A 22135-nucleotide genomic window follows, 5' to 3' on the forward strand; every position below is an offset into this window, starting at 1 on the left:
AGTTACTAATCAATGGTCAACAGACATAGCCTCATGCCATTTTCTTGTGATCTGTGATACGCATTTATCTGAAAGGTGATTGAGTGTATGGAGTGCATCTACGACTACAGAAGACAATGAAATAAAATGAATTAATAAATACTTCATTCAAAAATTGTTATGGAAAAACTCCTATGAGCCAGGCACTGTGCTAGGTATTGGGATATGACAAATAATATCTTATTCTTGAGTAGTTTATATAATACAGGAAGATTACTGCTTTAATGAGGACTCTATGGAAGGCCAGAGATTAAAGAAAAAAAGATCACTCTGCTCTGTCTGTATGATAAACAAATCTTTGACTGTGGCTTCATAAAAACGTTACTCTAAAAAAGTAAAAAAACAGAAATATAAACACACAACAAACCCATAAATAAACAGCTCTCTTTGGGAAAGGTAAGACAACTTCAGGATTGCAGGCCATGGCCTTGGTGGAGCTAAAAGGTGTGTTCCCAGAGCCACAGTTCTGTGCCTTCTCTTATACACAGCAAGAATCAAATTAGAACAAGTGAATTATTTGTGTCTGCATCTGGCCCTTTTGTTCTGGTACAGAATTAAGAAAATCAAAGACACTGGATTGCCAGATAATAAGCAGTTTCTTTTATCTGTAAATTGAATTTACTTTTCCAAGTTTTATGCTTATTTTATGTTAAATATGTGCTTGATAAACAAAATATGGTATACTTTTTTTAATTAACACTTTTTTAAAAAGGACCTACTACTAACAGGGAAATAGCTTATTTTTCTTCAATGAAAAAGCTAAGGCAGTAAAAAGGGTACCTACAAAATAAAAAGCGCTATTATAATGGGAAATATTTTAGATGTACATGTATTCATTCACTTATTCACAAATTCAACCAACATTGATTACTTGCTATGTGCCAGATACTGTACCTGTGGAACATACCTTTGATTTATGTGCTTGATGAATAATCTTTAGTGCATCTGAAAGAAAAAAGCAAGTTATCTTTTTACACAGTTTATTCTAAACTTCTTTTCAAATTATTAAAATGGGTGGAGGGTGGCTACGAAATTGAGAAATGTAAGTCCTTGTTTTATAACCAGACTCATTTAGAAATATACTATACAGCAAAAGAAAAATTACTTCTGTAGATCATTAAAACTGAAGTAAAAGATCTTTATCTTTTAAAGCCTTGGTCTTTGACACACAGCAGTGTGTGTGTCAGAACTTTTTGTCAACTCAGCACATTTTTTCTTAGAATGGAAGACAAGCAAATCAGATTACTGTACCTTGTTTTTTTGGAGTCAATACAGAACAGGATTAGCAAATAATGTAAAAAAAAAAGTCTTAAAATAGACATTAGCAAATGCAGTTCAAAAAAATCTATTCAGATGAGATATAATGACAAGAGAGCAAATGATGATACAGGTGTTGCCACTCTCAGTATTCAAACACTGTATCTAGGACCACCGGGAATCTGAGCAAGGCTGCTAATGCCCCAGGAATATCACTATCTGTCTCTTGGTTTGCAAATACTGCACAGGCTCACACCATTTCATCTGCTCTATTCAAACCCAACTTCACTCCTTAATTTGTTTATCTTGAAGTCAGGCTACACTGTGCACTTCCAGTAAGTAATTTCTCCACACTTGGGTAAAATTCGAACTCAGCAACAATCAGCCCTTAATTACATAATCTACACAGCCATTCAACAGGTTGAAATTCAGAAAGTTTCCGATTCTTCACTCGTTTTTATTTAAACATTTAATGAATGCATTATGATTACAGTGTATTATTGAATAAACTCCCAAACTTAAACTAAAACTCATTCCTATCAATCACGTTGTAACAAGGAATTCCAACAGTGACAGGAAATGAAAGGATCTATTTTTAAAACAGACCTTATTTAACTATGTTCTCATAATACACAATAAGGTGGCTATCTAGATAAGAACTAGCACTCTGAATTTGCCCATTATTTTAAATAGTCAACTTTCAGTTATCTATTGCAATTTTTTTTTTTTTTTGAGACGGAGTCTTGCTCTGTCGCCTTGGCTGCAGTACAGCAGCATGATCTCAGCTCACTACAAGCTCCACCTCCCAAGTTCAAGCAATTCGCCTGCCTCAGCCTCCCGAGCAGCTGGGATTACAGGCTCCCACCACCACACCTAGCTAATTTTTGCATTTTTAGTAAAGACAGGGTTTCACCATGTTGGCTAGGTCTCGAACTCCTGACCTCAGGTGATCTGCCCTCCTCAGCTTCCAAAGTGCTGGGATTACAGGCATGATCCACTGCATCTGGCCTTGTAATTTTTTATACAAGGTCAACATAATCCTCAGTAACTCTGTATTCCTAAGAAATAAAAATAAATCTAACCTAAGTAAAATATGCATATTAGGGATGTAAATAAACCATAATTGCTAAAAATAAGCTTAAAATGTGTGTAAGAAAATAAACAAAGTTGACTTTCAGCTTATCTAGTATTCCAAATTACCTATCATGTCCTTTTTCTTACTATAGATATGTTTATTATTTGAGACAAGTGAGAGAAGCCAATAGTATTTTTAAAATAACAGGAGCTCAAAGTCTGTTGCAATCAACCTGCAAAACTATAGTCTGACCTTACTAAATATTAATCCTGTTCTATATATTTTGCTAATGAGCCTTTAAACTAGAAATCCTGCTGCTCTAATAGGTTTGGCAAACACACAATTAAACGGCTACATATTTTAGCAGAAAAAGAAATGTTTTGAAGAGAAGTTTTTGCCAGATTTTTCTCTCCAACAGAAAGGGGTGTGACCTGAGGAGTGGGTAAGAAAGGAGAAATGACAAACCAGCAGAGAGATGTATTACTGTCCCTTTCTGTGTTGAATAAGCTGCTTCCCTTGTTCTTGCTTCTTTCAAATAATCCTCATAATTATCACAAACAATACCTGTGGGCATTGTTTTCTTAATACAAATTCCTTGAGGAAAGCAACCTCATAAAAATATCATCTTGTATTTGTGGAGCATCACACACAGCTTTATGAAACAGAGAGGGATGAGCAGCCCACACTGTACAACAACTACATTCTTGTGTGCCCTCATGGGTCATGTCTAGGCGATAGGGATTTAAGATAAGTAGCATGCGTGGTAAATCAATAATAGATGTGGATGCCAATTAAATGGGAGGAGGGCTCTGAGATATCTCAGGCTCTTGGTGGCAGAGAGAATCAGCCCTTTGCCAAAGGGTAGGGAGACAGTGACTGGCAAAACTGAAATCTGACTCCACACTCTTTCCACTCCCGAATACCTAACAAAGTGCCCTGTCCCGCAGACCGTGAGGTGGCAGTCCCGGATGACAATGACAGGTGAAAATAACACTGCAGCCTTTCTTGTTCAACAGAAAGCAGAAGATTGTTAAACAGCCAAGTTCAGACAAAGCCACTTGAAGTCTATCAAAACTCGAGTGGTTCTATAATTTCTTCACAAATAAATGTATTCATTTTTTCTGCCAATTCATCTGAATAGTATAGAAATACTAGGGCAGAAGGAAGTTAATAAGATAGAATAGTCTAAAAGGTACATTATCTACCACAATAATGCTTAGCAACTTGGATATTCTAACGCTTTCATTATCTAAAATTTCTTTCAAAAGAACTTACATGGAACACAGCTTTGCACATAGACATATAGATACACACATACACACACACCATGAAAAAAGGAAACCATATGTAACTATTCTAATTTAAAATGGCATCTGTAAGTTGATTCAAGTTTAAGGCTATATTTCAAGACATTATACTTTGAAAGCCTTGAAAGCCACAATTGAGAAGTTTCATATTTACCTTAATCATCCTTTTTATTCCTTTATCTTATTCAATATTGAGTATGTAAATTCTTTAAGCCCAATAAATCAAAGTACTTTCCACTCAGTGCCTTCAACTTCTGCTTCACTACCCCTTATAACCTCACAATTAGTTTCTGGATATTAAAATGCATACACACGGCGAAGATTGTGATTTCAAAGGATTTTAGGTCATAAGTTGTTCTATCAAATGAGAACAGAATGAAAAGCCACTCCAAAAAAAAATCTAAGGTAATAAAAAATTTATACTTTAAAATGTCTGCACCAATTAAGAGAAATATTTATTAGGTGCATCATACCTTTCAAATGAAGTCTCAAATTCAAAGTTTGGTGAGTGTCACTCTGCTGAAGGTTAATAACTGTGCCATCTTTATAACAAATAATGAATGACAACATCTAGCTTCTTACCTTATTACTCCATTTTTAAATCATCAATTGTAACACATAAAACTACTATATAACATGCTCAAATTATTGGCATTTAAAATGTTAAATCCCTTCTTTTAATTCTTAGTCTTCAATCATTTTTCCTTTTCTAATTACCTGGCAGAGAAACTCGTTTTAAACACAGTTTTGGCAAACATGCTACTCTTTGCAAATACGCCACTTCCTTACTATTACAATTCATTTCAGCAATATACTAGCATTCCTGTATTTCTAAATAAACTTCCAAATTGGTTTTTATTTACAGATAGTCATTTTTGAAAACAAAATTTAAGTTTGTAACAAACTAATGCAAAATTGTATTTATATATATTTTAAAAGAATAAAAAAATGGTTACCATATTTATAATTTCTGAATGGTGGTGGCAGGTTGGTCCTTAAAGGGATATCTACAAGAGAAAGATTATTTTTTTACACAATAAGCAAATAGACACTCATAGAATATGCACAGTCTTTTGGTTCTATTCTTTTCTATCTACAGACTAAGTTACCTTGAAAAACCTGACAGAACACAGAATAAATACATCACCGAAATCCAAGGGCCATCTATATTAGTCCATTCTCATACCACTATAAAGAAATACCCAAGACTAGGTAATCTATTAAAAAAAATGTTTAATGGACTGGGGAGGCCTCACAATCATGGCAGGTGAAAGAGGAGCAAAGGCACATCTAACATGGCGCCAGGCAAGAGGGTCTGTGCATGGGAACTGCCCTTTATAAAACCATCAGATCTCACGACACTTATTCACTACCGTAAGAACAGCATGGGAAAAACCCACCCCCATGATTCAATTCTCTCCCACCAGGTCCCTCCCCTGACAGGTGGGGATTATGGGAGCTACAATGCAAGATGAGATTTGGGTAGGGATACGGCCAAAGCATATCACCATCTAAAATATTAGAGCTATTGACAAGATGTTGAGTTGTTACTATCTGAACTAAGACTTCAGTAACACTATTAAAAGAATGTTTAATTTCATTAGACAACAGTATCTATGTATAGTTAAAATATATACTAATACACTTGTGTGAGACATATATATATATATATAGCTGATGTTTGTTTAGCATATGAATCTGAGAGCCCCTTATGGGTCTTTGGCCATTAGTGGAAACCAATGATCTAGAACAATCTTATTACTCCACCAAAATTCATATAACCAACAAAATAACTCCTCTAACTCCTCAAAGACAACAAAACACAGTAAATATTCTTTTAAAAACATATTCCAAATGCCAGTACTAATTTTAATTAATATCTGCTGGTACAACACCTAACAGAGAAATGTGTGTATATATGTGTATATATATATATATCTCAAAATTACATATGCACATACTCCTTGACCTAGCCATTCCACTTCAGAATCAATGAGTGAATGAACGAATTTATTGATTAACTGATTGACACAGGGTCTCATTTTGCTGCCCAGACTGGAGTGTAGTGGAACAAACATGGCTCACTGCAGCCTCGACCTCCCAGACTCAAGTGATCCCCCTGCATCAACCCCCCAAGTAGCTGGGATTACAGGTGCATGCCACCGCACCCAGCAATTTTTTGTATTTTTTTGTGGAGATGGGGTTTTGTCATGTTGCCCAGGCTGGTCTCAAACTCCTGAACTTAAGCAATCTGCCCACCTTGGCCTCCCAAAGTGCTGGGATTACAGGCATGAGCTACTATGCCCAGCCGGAAATTTATTATCATAGAACTATACTACACACGAGTGTGTGTAAAATGACATTCATAGAAGGGTATTAACTGCAGCATTGCTCACAGCAGCAAATGTTAGGAAAAGTCCAAATGTCCTTCAATTAGGTACTCGTTAAGTAAATCATAATATGCCCAAACAATGAAAAATACTTTTCAACTGTTAAAAGAAAAAGAAGGAAGCTCTCTACTAACATGATAAGATCTTCAAGTTACATCAAGGCTAAAGAGATATGAGAGAACATTATTTTTAGGAAGCTACCTTTTGAGTAAAAAGGGGGTAAAATGAGAATTTATGGTGGGATTTGCTTGTACTTGCTGAGTGGGGGGTGGGGAGGGCAGGGGGGTGCTGCACTGGTCAGACAGAGACCAGAAGGGTAAAGGAGACTTTTCACTATATTCCTTTCCACATTTTGATCTTAAAACCACATGAATGTGTTACCTACTAAAGAAAAGTAAAACAAACAAAAAATATCCACGTATCTAAATTAGGAAATGTGAAGGTTTTTGAGACAGGGTCTTGCTCTGTTGCCCAGGCTAGAGTGCAGGGATGTGATTATACTCACAGTAGCCTTGACCTCCTGGGCCCAAGCGATCCTCCCACCTCAGCCTCCCAAGTAGCTGGGACTACAGGCGCTCAGCACCATGCCCATAGTCCCGGCATTTTTTTTTTTTTTAATAGACAGGTTTCACTAGGTTGCCCAGGCTGATCTAAAATTCCTGGGCTCAAGCAATCCTCTCACCTCGCCCCGAAAGTGCTGGGATTACAGGCATGAGCCACTACACCTGGTCAGGAAATGTGGGTTTTTTTAAAATGCTTTTTCAAGATCAAATACGTATCAAATTAAAATATAATTGATTAATTTATGTTACAAGCATTTAAAGCACCTACTACCAGGTATTCCAGGAACAGAGTAAAAGAGGAGCTGCCCACTCATGACAGCGTGTGCTCCAGTGGTGAATGCTGTAACAAAAGTACGTTTCCAGCCAGTGCTATGGTCCTAGGAGTGTGGTCCTCACCCCGGCTGCACGTCAGGATCACCCAGCCTGGCACGAGTGGATCTGACTCACGGTAGGCTGGTCCCAGGCAGAGATATTTAAACACAAAACAAAACAAAACAAAACAAAAAAAACCCTGAGATGATTCGTACTCAAATTCACCCAGAGGCCAGACAGGTGACAACAGGTAAGTGAAGCAGGTCAAACAAGGAGGGGCAGTGAGATCTGAGAGCATGCGCCCATCAAAGGGGGCTCTGCCAGTCAGTGCTGACTGATCACAGTGCTGTAGGAACATGAGCCTGGAGTGGCCACACCTAAAGATTTAAATGGCAATGCTACAAGTCTAGGGTTTTAGGTGAAATTTCTTGACTTTTAAAACACTATAGGCCAAAAGAAACCTCTCTGGAGGCAGGATTTGCCTGCCAGATACCAATTTGAAACCTCTGGCTTAGGCTTACCAGAGCATATGTACTTCATTTTATTCTTCTTGTGTCTCCATTATTTGTGAATTATGGGCCAAAGCAGTATTCATTCAACATCAGAAAGGAGAATTAATTCCATTTAATGTATTGACATTTATATTTCCTGAATTAGACAATGAAACTCCCTGAAGAAAGCCGTGAGGTGAAGAACAGATGGCCCCATGAAGCTATTATCATTTAGAGATGTCTACGACTGAAGAAATCAAATCAGTCTTATGTTCAATCCAGACTTCTGAGAGAAGAGACAACGACCAGGACACAGCGAGCACCTATTCTCTTCCTGCCTTTACATCTTAACTGAAGTGCCATCTCCTCTGACAACCCTTCTAAAGCGGGGGTCTTCTCTGATATTGTTTCCTTCATAACAGGTTTTACAATTATAGTTTTGTCTTTTAACTTATTTTTGTCACTATTTCCTATGAATTTATAAATTCCTCGGGATGAAAACGTGGGCTGTCCTCTCAAAACCTAGGACCATGTCCGGCCCATAACAAATTATCACAAACTGCTTCCATGAGGGCAGGGACCACAGCCTGTTTTCTTCATTGTGTTGTCAGAACCTAAAATAGTGCCTGGTACACAGCATGTGCTCAAAATATTCATGAAAGAATACATATAATTTAATGCCTACAGTTGCCAGTGGAGAACACTGAGGTCTCAAGAAGTGCCTGGTCAGCCCAAGGTGTCAAGAGCTGGGACCAGAACCCTGCCCTCTCGACTCCCCTCCTGCAGCACTGAGAAGGGTGGGAACTAAAGCAGTTACCTTCCACAGTGGCAGAAAGACAGATTAGACATTAGACACACTCCAGTGAGATAAGAGCTTTAACCAAAATACATATAAAGATGCCTGCAAAGGAACTGGAAAAAAACAAACATGTTCTTTATGCTAAAGGTCATTTTTAATCTTGCGCTATTACAAATAAAGCTGGGAACATTCACATGGAGGAAATTACTTTCATTCTCACAGGCACATACTGTCATTCCACCTAGAAGTGGAATGGCTGGATCATACAATAGGTATATGTTTAGCTTTCTAAGAAATTGGTGGCCGAGTGCAGGGGCTCACACCTGGAATCCCAGCACTTTGGGAGTTCAAGGCAGGAGGATCGCTTAAGTCCGGGAGTTCAAGACCAGCCTGGACAACATAGCGAGACCCTGTCTCTACAAAAATAAAAATTAAAAAAAGACACACCTGCAATCCCAGCACTTTGGGAGGCCGAGGCGGTTGGGCCACCTGAGGTCAAGAGTTCGAGACCAGCCTGACCAACATAGTGAAACCCCATCTCTACTAAAAATACAAAAATTAGCCAGGCGTGGTGGCGGGTGCCTGTATTCCCAGCTACTCAGGAGGCTGAGACATGAGAATCGCTTGAACCCAGGAGGCAGCGGTTGCGGTGAGCCGAGATCTTGCCATTGTACTCCAGCCTGGGCGACAGAGCAAGACTGTCTCAAAAAAAAAAAAAAAAAAAAAAAGACATGATGATGTCTGTAGTCCCAGCTACTCAGGAGGCTGAAGCAGGAGAATCACTTGACCCATGAGTTAAGGCTGCAGTGAGCTATGGTTGCACCACTGCACTCTAGCCTAGGGGAGACAGAGCAACACTGCCTCCAAAAAAAGGAAAGAAATGATAAATCATTTTCCAGAGTGGCTGTTCCTTTTAATATTCCCACTAGTGGTATATGAGAGTTCCAATTCTTCCACATCCTAGCCAAAACTTCCTATGGTTACTCCTTTTAATTTCAGTCATTCTTATGGATGTGTTGTGTAATCTCATTGTGGTTTTAATTTCCATTTCACTAAAGACTAATGATGAGTATTAATTAATGTGCTTATCTGCCATACATACGTCTTCTTTAGTGAAGTGTCCGTTCAAATATTTTGCCCACTTTTAATTGTGTTGTGTGTCTTATTATTGAGTTATAAGAGGTTTTGGTTTTGGTTTTAATTCTTATTATTCTAGATAATAGTTCCTAATAGTTCCTTGTTGGATGTATGTTTTACAAATATCTTCTCCACATCTGTGGTTTGGTTTTTCATTTTTTTAGTATATTTTGAAAAGGAAAAGTTTTTAATTTTGCTAAAGCCCAATTGATTTTTGCTTTTATAGTTTATGCTTATTGTGCTGTATTTAAGAAACTTTTACCAAAATCAAAGTCTCTAAGGTTTGTTGCTGTTTTCTTCTAGATGTTTTATAGTTTTACCTTTTACATTTAGTTCTTGGCCAATTTTGAGTTATTTTTGTATATGGTAGGAGGTAAGCATTGAGGTTCATTTATTTGCATATGGCTATCCAATTGTCCTAATACCTTGCTTGGGAAAATTACACTCTCCTCAAAAATACCTTGAGCAAAAATCAATTTAACACATCTGTGTGTCTGTCTCTGGACTCCGCTTCCATTAACGTATATGTTTATCTACACACCAGTATCACATATGCAGTACTTGATTACTATAGTTTTATAGCAGTAAGTCATGAAATAAGGTAGTGTAATTTCTTCAACTTTTTTCCTTCTTTTTGTGAGTTATGACGATTTTAGGTCTTTTGCCTTTCCTTACAAATTTTAGAATAAGTTTGGTATTATCTGAAAGGAAAAAAAAAAGCCTGCCAGAATTTTGATTAGAACTGGAATCAATACCACAGTTTGAGGACACATGACATCTTAACAGTTTTGAGTTTTCTGATCCATGAACACAGTATACCTCTCCATTTACTTAGGTCTCTAAATTTCTCTCAGTGATATTTAAAGTTTTTAGAGTAAAAGTCTTACACTTCTACCAAATGTATCCTAAGTATTTCAGGTTTTTTGATGTTTTATCATTTTTTTTTCAGTTTCCCACTGTATATTGCTTGTAACTAGAAATACAATTAATTCTTGTACACTGATCTTATATCTTAATATCTTATAACCTTGCTAAGCTCAGTTTGTAAGTTCTGGTAGCATTTGTATAGATTTCATAGGATTTTCTGCATAGATAATCATATTGCCTGTGAATAATGACAGTTTCACGTCCTCCTTTCAAACAGGGTTGCCTGTTACTTCATTTTCTTGCCTTAATGAACTGGCTAGAACTCCAGTACAATGTTGAATAGCAGTGATGATGAACAGATGTCCCTGCTTCCTTATTTTAGGAGGAAAGCACTCAGTCTTTCACCATTAAGCATGATGTTAGGCAACAGTTTTTCATACTCTTCATCAGGTAGAGGAAGTTCCTTTTTATTCCTAGCTTGAAAAGAGTTTTTAGCAGGAATGGATTTTGGATTCTGTCTTCAATTAAAATAATCTTATAGTTTTCTTTTCTTTACTATTAATATGATGAATTACATGGATTTTTTTTTTTTTTTTTTTTTTTTTTGGTGGAACCAGCATTGCATTCTTAGGATAAACCCTACATGGTCATTGATATAGTTTGGATGTTTTGTCCCCTCCAAATCTCATGTTGACATGTAACCTCCAAAGTTGGCGATGAGCCTAGTGAGAGGTGTTTGGGTCACGGGGGTAGATCCCTCACAAATGGGTTGGTGCTCTCCATGCTATAATGGGTGCGTTCCTCCTCTATTAGTTCACGTGAGATCCGGCTGTTTAAAAAGAGCCTGATATCTTCTCCCTCTCTCTCTCTCTTGCTTCCTCTCTCATATGGCATGCTATGTGGCATGCTGACTTCCCTTTGCCTTCCACCATGGTAGTAAGCTTCTTGAGGCCCTCACCAGAAGCACATGCCAGCACTAAGCTTTGGGTATGGCTTACAGAACCGAGAGTCAAATAAATCTCTTTTCTTTATAAATTACCCAGCTTCAGGTATTCCTTTATAGCAATGCAAACAGACTAACAGAGTCATAATGTATTATCCTTTTTAAATATTGTTGGATTTGATTTACTAAAGTTTGGGCAAGAATTTTTACATCTCCATTCATGATGGATATTGGCTGGTAGCTTTATTTTCTTTCAACAACTTTTTCTGGTTTGGTATCAGGGTAAGGATGACCTCAGAGAATGAGTTGAAAAATATTCTGCCCCCCTCCTTTTTTTTTTCTTAAGAGACAGTATCTCGCTATGTTGCTTGGGTTGTTCTCAAACTTCTGGCCTCAAGAGAACCTCCTGCCTCAGCCTCCTATATAGCTGGGATTAGAGGCAAGAACTATCGTGCCTGGCTCCCATCCTTCTTCTGGAAGAATCTCTGTAGAATTGAGATTATTTCTTTCTTAAAAATATGGTAGAATGTACCAGTGAAACCATCTGGGCCTGGAGTTTTCTTTGTGGAAGTATTTTTTAACCATAATTCCTTTTAAAATACAGAGTTGTTCATGCCGTTTCTTTTTTAGTGAGCTTTGATAGTTTGGGTCTTTGAAGCAATTTGTCCTCTTTATCTAGGATACTGTACTTATTAGCATTAAATTGTTAAGAATATTCCTTTATTATTCTTTTAATATCTGCAGAAAGTCTGTAGTGATATGACAACTGTCACTCCTGATACTGGTAACTTGTATCTTCTCTATTTCCTGATCAGTCTGGCTAGAGTTTACTCAATTTTATTGATCTCCAAGAATCAACTTTGACTGTTATGGATTTTCTCTATGGTTTTTCTATTTTCTGCTGTGATCATTATTATTTCTTTTATTCTGATTATTTTAGGTTTCATTTGCTTTTCTGTTTCTAGTTTCTTAACATAAAGACTGAAATCATTGATTTGAAACCTTTTTTAATATTTAGGTGTTTTAGTACTATAGACTTTCTTTTAAATACTATTTTACATGCATCCCACAAAATTTGAAAAGTTGTATATTCATTTCCACTCAGTTCAAAATACCTTCCCTTTTGATCTCTGCTTTGACCCTTAGGCTATTTAGAAGTGTGTTATTTGGTTTCCAAATATTTGGAGATTTTTCCAGAGATCTTTCTGTTATTGATTTCTAATCTAATTCCATTATGGCCAGAAAATAGACACTGTCTAATTTGAATCCTTTAAAATCGATTAAGACTTGTTTTATAATATGAAATCTGGACTATTCATAAACGCTCCATGTGCATTTGAAGGAAATGTGTAAATTCCACTATTGTTGGAAGCAAGATTCTATAGATGTCAATTCAGTTGATTGGGTTGCTAGTGTTTTTAAGTTCTCTTGATCCTTACTGATTTTCTATTTGTTCCATTCCTCTATTTCTTCCTGCAGTTCTATGAGTTTTTACTTCATTTATTTTGAAATTCTGTTGTTAGGTGCATCGTTATGTCCTCTCAGTTGATGCCTTTATCATTATGAAGTGATAGTTTTATCCCTAGTAATATTTTGCTCTAAAATCTACTTCATCTGATACTAATACAGTCCCTCCACTTTTCTTTGGATTCATATCAGCATGGTATAACTTTCTCATCCTTCTATTCTTACTTGATTTTTATCTTTAAAGTACATTTCTTGTAGGTAACATATAATTGGGACTTCCTATTATATGTCTGTCTTTTAATTGGGGTATTTAGACCATTTACTTTCAATGTGATTATTGATATGGTTAAAGTTTGCTATTCTTTTAAATTTGTTCTCTATTTCCTCTTTTTCTATCTTCTTTTGGATTGTCTATTTGACAATATTTTATGATTCCATTTTATCTCTTTTTTTAGCTCATTAGCTGTAACCCTTAGATTGTGGGGTTGGGAGGCAGGAGTTGCTTTGAGGTTTACAGTAAACATCTTTATCGGTCTACCTCCAAATGATACTATAACACTTTGTAATAGCAAAAGATTCTTCCATTTCTCCTCTGCTGGCCTTTGTGCTACTGCTGTCATAAATTTCCCACAAAACCCACAATACGTTGTTGTTGTGTTTCTTTAAATGGTCAAATATTTTTTTTAATTATTTTCAAAATAAGAAAAAATATTTTATATTTATTATATTTACCATTTCCAGTACTCTCTATTTCTCTGTGTGCATCCAGATTTATATCTGGTATCATTTTCCTTATGCCTGAAGAAGGTCTTCCAACATTTCTTACAGTGCAGATCTCCAGGTGATGAACTCTTTCAGCTTTGGTATGTCTGAAAACATCTTCATGTTGGCTTCATTCCTTAACTGCTTTAAAGAAGTTACTCCAGGCCAGACACAGTGGCTCACATCTGTAATCTCAGCACTTTGGGAGGCTGAGGAGGGCAGACCACTTGAGGTCAGGATTTCGAGACCAGCCTGGCCAGCATGGTGAAACCCCATCTCTACTAAAAATACGAAAAAAATTAGCTGGGCGTGGTGGCACATGCCTGTAGTCCCAGCTACTTGGGAGGCTGAGGCAGGAGAATCGCTTGAACCTAGGAGGCAGAGGTTGCAGTGAGCCAAGATCATGCCACTGCACTCTCCATCTCAAAAAAAAAAAAAAAATGTTAATCCAGTATCTTCTTTCTGGCACACACTGATTCTGATGAGAAGTTGGCTGTCAATTTCATCTTTGTTCCTTTTTATGTAATGTGTTCTTTTTTCTCTTGCTGTTTTTAAGATTTTTTTTCTTTACCACCAGTTAAGCAGTTAGATTATGGTATGCCTTGGTGTGGCTTTCTTCATGTTTCTTTTGCTTGGGATTTGTTGAACTGCTGGGAAATGTGAGTCTCTAGTTTTCATCATATTTGTAAAATTTTCAATCATTATTTCTTCAAATATATCTTCTGTCCCCCGTCCCTCTCTCCTTCACTATCTCCAATTACATGTATATTTGGCTACTAGAAGTTGTCCCATACCTCCCCACTGCTTTATTTTTTCCAGTCTTTTCCTGTGTTTCATTTTAGATTGTTTTGTTGCTATGTTTTCAAGTTGACTAATTTTTTTCTCCGCAGCATCTAATCTGCAGGCTAATCCTGTCCAGTGTATACCCATCTCAGACAATATTTTCAATTCAGGTATTTTTAAATATCTTCCATTGCTAACATGCTCAATCTTTCCTCTAGCTTCTCGAACATTTTGCAATATGGTCATAATTATCTCCATCATCTTTGTTTACTAATTTTATCACCTGCAATATTTCTGGGTTGGTTTCAATAGACTGATTTTTTTTTTCTGCTCATTATGGGTCATACTTTTTTGCTTCTTTGCATGCCTGTTAAGTTCTGATTTGATGCTAGACACCGTAAATTTTATCTTGTTGGGTGCTGGATATTTCTGTATTCCTGTAAGCTTTCTTGAGCTTTCTTCTGCAACACAGTTAAATTACTTGGAAACAATCTGATCCTTTCAAGTTGTGCTTCTGAACTTTGTTAGGTGGGACCAGGACAGAATTCAGTCTACAGCTAATTTTGCTCTACTACTGCAGCAACACCCTTCTGGATACTCTGCCCGATAACCTGTGAATAACAAGGTTTCCACTCCAACAGGTGGAATAAAAACTATTCCCAGCCCTGTAGGAGCTCCGAGCATTTCTCATTCTACTAGTTTTAGGTGGTTCTTTCCCAGGCTTCCAGTGGTTTCTTTACTTGCTTGCACTGATCCATACACAACTGAAGACTCACACTCTGCATATCTTCAAAGATCCTCTGCAAATCTTCAGAGCTCCCCATCTCTCTGTGCAGCTCTCTATATCCCTGTACTCTGCCCTGTGAACTCTCCAGGGTCCACTCCAGACTGCCAGCTCTGACTCCTAAACTCATGGAACCCACCAGCTTTGCCTGAATTCCCTCTCCCCGCCCTGTGGCCTGGAAAGTGGCACAATCATAGGGGTCACCATGTCTGTTTCCCCAATCCCAGGGAAATGATTGTTTTATATATTATACATAGTTTTTTTAGTTGTTTAATGTAGAAGAGCAAGCCTGGTACCCTGGTCCCACTCCATCTTGGCTGAAAGCAAAAGTTTATGACGTATCTATTATATTCTGAAAATTATTTCCCACTTTGCACTGCGTTTTTCTTTCATTTTATGTTTTCCCACCTTTGAACTTAAGACTTCAGAATGTTGCAAAAACTAATTTAATATTTCATTAATAGAAAGGAAGGTCACGAGAAGGTAACCACTAACTTTTCTCATACAATTAAGTCTCCATAAAAAAAAAATCAGTGGAAAAATTTAGGCAACTTAACAAATATACTACTGAAAATTACAATGCCCCAGGGGAGTCTGAAATGTTAAAACACACATTTCAATACAAAAATCAATAAAGTCTAGAAAACCATTGAAATATCAAGAGGCAATAAAATAATTCTTTGCCTCACAGTAAAGGCTCTAAAAATAGAAGTGGTACAATTTGTAACTTATTATTGGATGCTGGATCTACATTAGAAGACCTTTGAGAAAGCATAAACACCTAAAGGAAAAAAAAAATAAAACTAAGCCAATGACTAATCTATATGGACAAAGAATACCAAACACCTAATAATCAAAACTATGCACCAACATTCAAACCTGATAAGGTATCCTTATCAGATATGATGGTAAGATTCAAAGGTTAAGCTATATGCTTTTTACTTTAATTATAAAATAATCTAAATTATAGAAAAGCACAGAGTAGAACAAAAAATTCACTTAACCCACCAACCAGATTTTACAAATGTTAACATGTAGTCATATTACTATAGATCCTTTATTATTTTTTTTAACTAAGTAAAACAATCTGGATGCAGCTAAAGCCTTTCTATCTTTTGCCAGTCCCACTGTTACTCCCTTCCTAGAAGAAACCACCTGCCATCCCTAGGTTAGCACACCCGCTCTGTTGTTTTACTCTCGTTCCAAAGACTAATAGCCAGGGATGATAAAAATAGTTTTGTTTTGTTTTGTTTGAGTCAGGGTCTTTCTCTGTTGCCCAGACTGGAGTGCAGTGGCACAATCAAGGCTCACTGCAGCCTCGACCTCCCAGGCTCAAGCAATCCTCCCATCTCAGCCTCCCAAGTAACTGGGCTACAGGCATGCACTACAAAGCCAGGCCAATGTTTTTACATTTTTAGTACAGATGAGGGTCTTGCTATGTTGCTCAGGCTGGTCTCGAACTCCTGCATTCAAGTGATCCTCCCGCTTTGGCCTCCCAAAGTGCTGGGATTACGGTGTGAGCCACCACGCCAGGCCAAGTATTATTTTGTGTATTAAAATTATAAAGTACTTAAATTAAAGAATGCGCAGCACATCCTGTAGTAGAGTAGTAAAAACAACAAAGCATTGCCTTAACAGTATGTTGAAGGAACTGCCTCACGTGATAAGGCAATAATACATTATGACTGTGCTGCAGCCACATTATTGTATTCCTTTCAAAAAAAGAGAGGCTTCAAGGGACGGGTTCTCTACAGAAGAGTGCCAGATAATACATGTAGAGATAATCATAGAATTAGAAAAATCACAATTTTTCAACCACCAATGATTCAGATAAGGATCATCAATAAATGCTAAAACCATAAGAAACAAGATATGTAAATGGTCTCAATGTTGATCACTCCATAGACTACTTATAAATTAGAAAGACACTTTAACATCAGGAAAATCTGGTGGATGGCACCTTTAGCCAAAGGATTTAAATCTGTATCACCAATGAAGGCATAAACTGACATTCAGTGTTTCCTGATGTGATGCAACAAGGAGGAATCACCTACATCAAGGCCAGCAAACTAGTTTGGTAAAGGCCAGCGAGTCAGCATTTTAGGCTTTGTGGGCCAGTCTCTGTCTCTGCGACAGTCTGTCACAACTATTCAACTCTACTACTAAATCACAAAAGTGGTACATATATGGTCCACAGACTGTTGTTTGTTAACCCCTGACCTACATGGTAATCCTGCCAAAACTGCTTAACCCGAACCTAATCATGAGAAAACAATCTAGACAAATGTAAATTATGTAACATTCTGTAAGACACTGGCCTAAATTTTTCTTTAAGAATCAATATAATGAAAAACAAAAGGTGGGGGATTGTTCCAGATTAATGGAGATTAGAAAGATATGACCTGTCACAAAATGACATGAAGGACCCTTCAATGCGTGTTCAATGCATGTTTCTCTGTTCTTTTTTTCTTTTTTTTTGTACAGATGGGGTCATACTGTGTTGTCCAGTCTGGGCTCAAACTCCGAGGCTCAAGTGATTTTCCTACCTCCACCTTCCAAAGTGTTGGGATTACAGGCATGAGCCACTGTGCCTGACCCCTTCAATGTATATTTCTAAGTAAAAGAAGCCATTCTGAAAAGTCTACATACTGTATGATTCCAATTCAGTGACATTCTGGAAAAGATACAGAGATAAGAACAAAATCAGTAGTTGCCAAGGGTGCAGCATGGGGAGGGAAAGGATAAAGAAGTGAAGCACAGCGGATATTTTAGGCAGTGAAACTATTCTGTACGGCACTGTAAGGGTGGCTACATGACATTACCCATTTGTCAAAAACCCAAAGAACTTTGTAGCACAAAGAGTGAACCTCAATGTATGCAAAGCAAAAAAAAAAAAAAAAAAAAAAAAAGGTCGGGCACAGCGACTCACACCTATAATTCCAGCACTTTGGGAGGCCGAGGCAGCGGACTGCCTGAGTCCAGGAGTTTTGAGACCAGCCTGGGTGGGCAACACAGCAAAACCCCGTCTCTACTAAAAATAAAAAATTAGCCAGGCATGGTGGCATGCATCAGTAGTCCCAGCTACTCAGGAGGCTATGGTGGGAGAATCACCAGGGTCCGGGAGGTTAAGGCTGCAGTGAGCCGAGATGGTGCCACTGCACTCTAGCCTGGGCAACTGGAATGAGACTCTCTCTCAGAAAAAAACAAAATATATATATATATATATTTAAGAAGTCAGAGGATACCAGGAAAGAATGCAGGTGGTGACAAGAGAATCTAATCTATCTGTACTACAAATGCTACAACAACCTTACTGAAGGGAGTAGAAGAAAAAGTGCTGACCTAAATAACTCTGGCAATGAACAGATTTTGTAAGACTACAGTGCTTATGGCGAAAGGACACAAAAGGACTGTATCTAACTGATATCAAGTTGCTTCCCATGGGGATACACTGCTATACCTGTATGCTAGAATTAAACAATTAAATAAATGGATAGCAGATGGTGGGACCACGTTTCTCACTGTTGGTATGGGAATTAACAGATAAGCAAGGAGAGGAAGCTAGAATGACCCACAGGGTAATGGATCAGAGATGGAAAGATCAGTAAGAACTCACGTTTAATGTATTTGTATATAGATCATTACATATAAAAATATTTATAGATATGTACATACGCACAGGTTAATACAGACACATATATTTCTTTGCCTGATCAGCTGAGACAGTTTAAAATAACACTCCTTGGCCTTTAGATATCTACCATAGAAAAAAGAAAGAAAGAAAGAACACTCTAGTAGCAATGAACACATCTAGTACCTAGATCCTGGTTTCTAACACAATTTTCCACTAAAAAAGAACTGAGACTCCTTGGAAATAAAGCTGATTCTAAGAACAGGGCATGTACAAGATGAGTCTGGAGCATCCTGTAGTACCAGAAAGTAAAAGTACTGAACACGTGCACCCATGCACACTGAGGGCATATGTCAGAGGAGCACAGAAGGCAATTGAAAGAGCTCCCAAACCTAGCAAAATCTGAGCAACAAAGTCAAGTCTGCCACACAGAACTCCAAAGGATTTTTGTACATGGTTTATTCTAAAGGAAGGGAAGCATAACTCCCGAGTGTTTAACTGTGATATGAATTCCTTCTGAAAAGTACCATTTGAAAAGGGAAGGAAAAAAGAGTAACTTTACAGTAGAGAAACCTGACATGACTTCAGCCACTTAATCAACGTCAATGTCAATAATCCTAAATGATGTGGAAAGCATACACCTCTGATACTATCTGATAAAATCACTCTGTGCCTCTGTGACCTTCCTCTCAAAAATCCATAAGCCCAGTCTAACCATGAGAAAAACATCAGACTGAACTGGAAGGTTGGACAGAGCTTCCACAGTGTTCTTTTTCATAGTTGGGATGACTTTACATTTGGAAACCAGATCTAAAGTATTAGTAAGAATCGAAATGCTTGCAAATTAAGAATAATTAAAATAATTTTATGTTATCTAGATAATTGGTTTGTCTAGTATTCTGAATCTAAAAAATACAGTCATCTATAGATGGTAATATATTATGATACCTCTATGATCATAATATTTGATTAATATCCATTTCCCAGGCCAGGTACAGTGACTCACACCTGTAATCCCAGCACTTTGGGAGGCTGAGGCAGGCGGATCTCTTGAGATCAGAAGTTTGAGACCAGCCTACCAACATGGTGAAACCCCATCTCTACTAAAAATATAAAATTAGCCAGGCATAGTGGCGCACACCTGTAATCCCAGCTACTCAGGAGGCTGAGGCAGGAGAATCGCTTCAATTCAGGAGCCAGAGGTTGTTAGCCGAGACCACGCCACTGCACTCCAGTCTGGGCAACAGAGCGAGACTCTGTCTCAAAATAAATAAATAAATTTATCATACATCAGAAATAGGTTTATTATATTTATATGTAAATATATACATTTATATTTATTATATTTATATGACTTAAGGTTTTGATGACGTGATGATGCTCTAGGGCTGTGATTCTCAATGGGGAATGAATAAAATTTAACCAAAACTTTTTGGCTGAGGAGAAAATACAAACAATTATGGCAGGTAACTAGGTTAACCTGTGGATGGCAAAACATGACTACGAAAGAAAAGAACATTTAGAAAGCCTTGGGGAGGGAGGAGGATCGAAAAATAAAATTTAATTTAAAAAGAAAGAAAGAAAGGCAATAAAGTGTGTAAAATAACTCCAAGAGATCTTTCTTCACAATGCCCATTTCTGTATCTGTACAAAATTCCCTATGCCACTATGTCAGACAATCTCTTTAGCACTCAGCACTCAAAATGCTAGAGCAAGATGAACTAAATTCAAAGACCCTTTTGACACGGAGTCCATCCATTTATTTCAGAGATCCCACTCAAGCAAGTGAGGCAGTAGAGAAGAATAAAGAAGCAATTTAGTGCAGTGTTTAGTAAGAGTACATGTTTGACACTTAACATGCCTGGGTTGATTTGCAGCTTTGCCTTTTATTACCCATGCAACATCAGGAAAGTTTCATTTATTTATTTATTTATTTATTTATTTTTTGAGACACAGGCTTGCTCTGTGGTCCAGACTAGAGTGCAGTAGTGCAATCAAAGCTCACTGCAGCCTCAACTTCATGGGCTCAAGCGATCTTCCCACCTCAGCCTCCTGAGTGCTGGCACTACAGATGTATGCCACCATGCCCAGCTAGTTTTTTGGGGTTTTGTTTTGTTTTTTTTTTGGAGAGACAGGGTCTTGCTATGTTGCCCTGGCTGGTCTCAAGCTCCTGGGCTCAAGTGATCCTCCCGCCTTAGCCTCCCAAATTGCTGGGATTACAGATGTGAGCCACTGCAGGTGGCCAGGCAAGCTTCTTAACCCCTCTGTTCCTTAGTTTCTTCACCTGTAAAATGGTTCCAACTTTAGAGGGATGCTGTGAGGATGAAATGAGATAATCTAGGTAAAATTCTTAGTATAGTACCTGATACAGAGTAATGTTTGCTATCATTATTATTATTACATATTTCAAAAATCCCTCACTATCAAACTGTTTGGTCTTTGTTATGTACACAATTCATAAAAGGCAAATCTGTGGCCCACCAACCTTTCAGAGTTCCATAGTACCTCAAATCAGATGACAAAGATAGGCTTGGACACAGAGCCCACAACTCAGAAAAGTCTGTACCCCAAAAGTTCACCTTTTAGTCAGTGGAACACATTTCCCTAAGTGCACAATTGAAACAAGCAGTGGCTGTTATTCCCACTGCAGATGAAAGGTGTGAGTAGGTGGGTCTGAGCATCTCACTGTGACCAGTACCACTGCTCTGCTGGGGAAGGTATCTGTGGTACCTGGAAAGAAAAGAACACCGTGACCCTGGAAAAAAGACATCTTCCCCTGCCATTGCAGCAGCTTGAAAATACATCTTATTCTCAAGGACTTCAAGAACCTAGTCTGTACTGTACAAAGAACATCATAGCACTTGCTGTGTCAACATTAAGAAACACTGTAATCCACAATACACACAAAGATTATAAAATAAAAAAGTACGGATTTGTTTCTATTTCAAACTCTGACTATGCTTTGGGTAATGACCTTTCAAAAGCAGGACACTTTCTAATTGACACTGTCAGAGACCAGGAAGTGCCCCCCAAAATATGCCTCTTTAGCTAAGGATTTTTTTTGAGCTAAAGGCAATTAAGCAGCAGCAGATGGAGGAAAGCTCTCGGCCCTCCGTTTGCCTAAAATCAGGACATATAATAGATTTACAAAGAGAAAAGGTATCCTGCCCACCTCTCTCCCAAGGAAAACAAAGGTTAATCACTGAAGACAACTTTAGACCCCTATCAGTCTGGAGACAGCACAAGAGAATCCACATTAACGAGCTTTACTAACTAGCCTTAGTATTCAGTTTCCCACAAGTTGTCACCCTGAGAGATTTAGAGTTCATTTCCTTTGTCTTGTCACTTCTCTAAAATTTTACTGTTCTTTGTTGAGGATGCTACCTAATCTGGGGGAGTGAGGAGAATGAGAGAGAAAGGGGAAGAGGAGAGAGGGGAGAGAGTGAGGAATTGTTTCAAGGTGAGCAGGTCTATGTGAACCTGCCCCAGAAAGTCCGAGGAAACTGAGAGGCTGAAGAAAGAGGCTGA

The 22135-nt window shown here is 37.8% G+C and overlaps 1 protein-coding gene across 9 annotated transcripts in view; it reads right to left on the bottom strand.

Annotated features, from left to right (window-relative positions):
• C2orf76 (chromosome 2 open reading frame 76) overlaps nt 1-22135 on the bottom strand; it is an 86022-nt gene that overhangs the window by 35390 nt on the left and 28497 nt on the right. For 7 of the 9 annotated variants that reach the window (XR_007069609.1, XR_001738623.3, NM_001322329.2 and 4 more), the window contains 2 exons: nt 4635-4685; nt 947-984 (listed from right to left, as the gene is read on the bottom strand). Coding sequence is in view for 6 of the 9 variants with exons in the window: in NM_001322329.2 (NP_001309258.1) it covers nt 947-984; nt 4635-4685 (89 nt within the window). In the remaining 3 variants the exon portion in view is untranslated. The remainder of the gene's footprint in view (nt 1-946; nt 985-4634; nt 4686-22135) is intronic. The other 2 variants (XR_007069611.1, NM_001322332.2) reach the window with 1 other exon arrangement.

This window comes from Homo sapiens, chromosome 2 (assembly GCF_000001405.40).
Source record: "Homo sapiens chromosome 2, GRCh38.p14 Primary Assembly".
Lineage (NCBI taxonomy): Eukaryota > Metazoa > Chordata > Mammalia > Primates > Hominidae > Homo > Homo sapiens.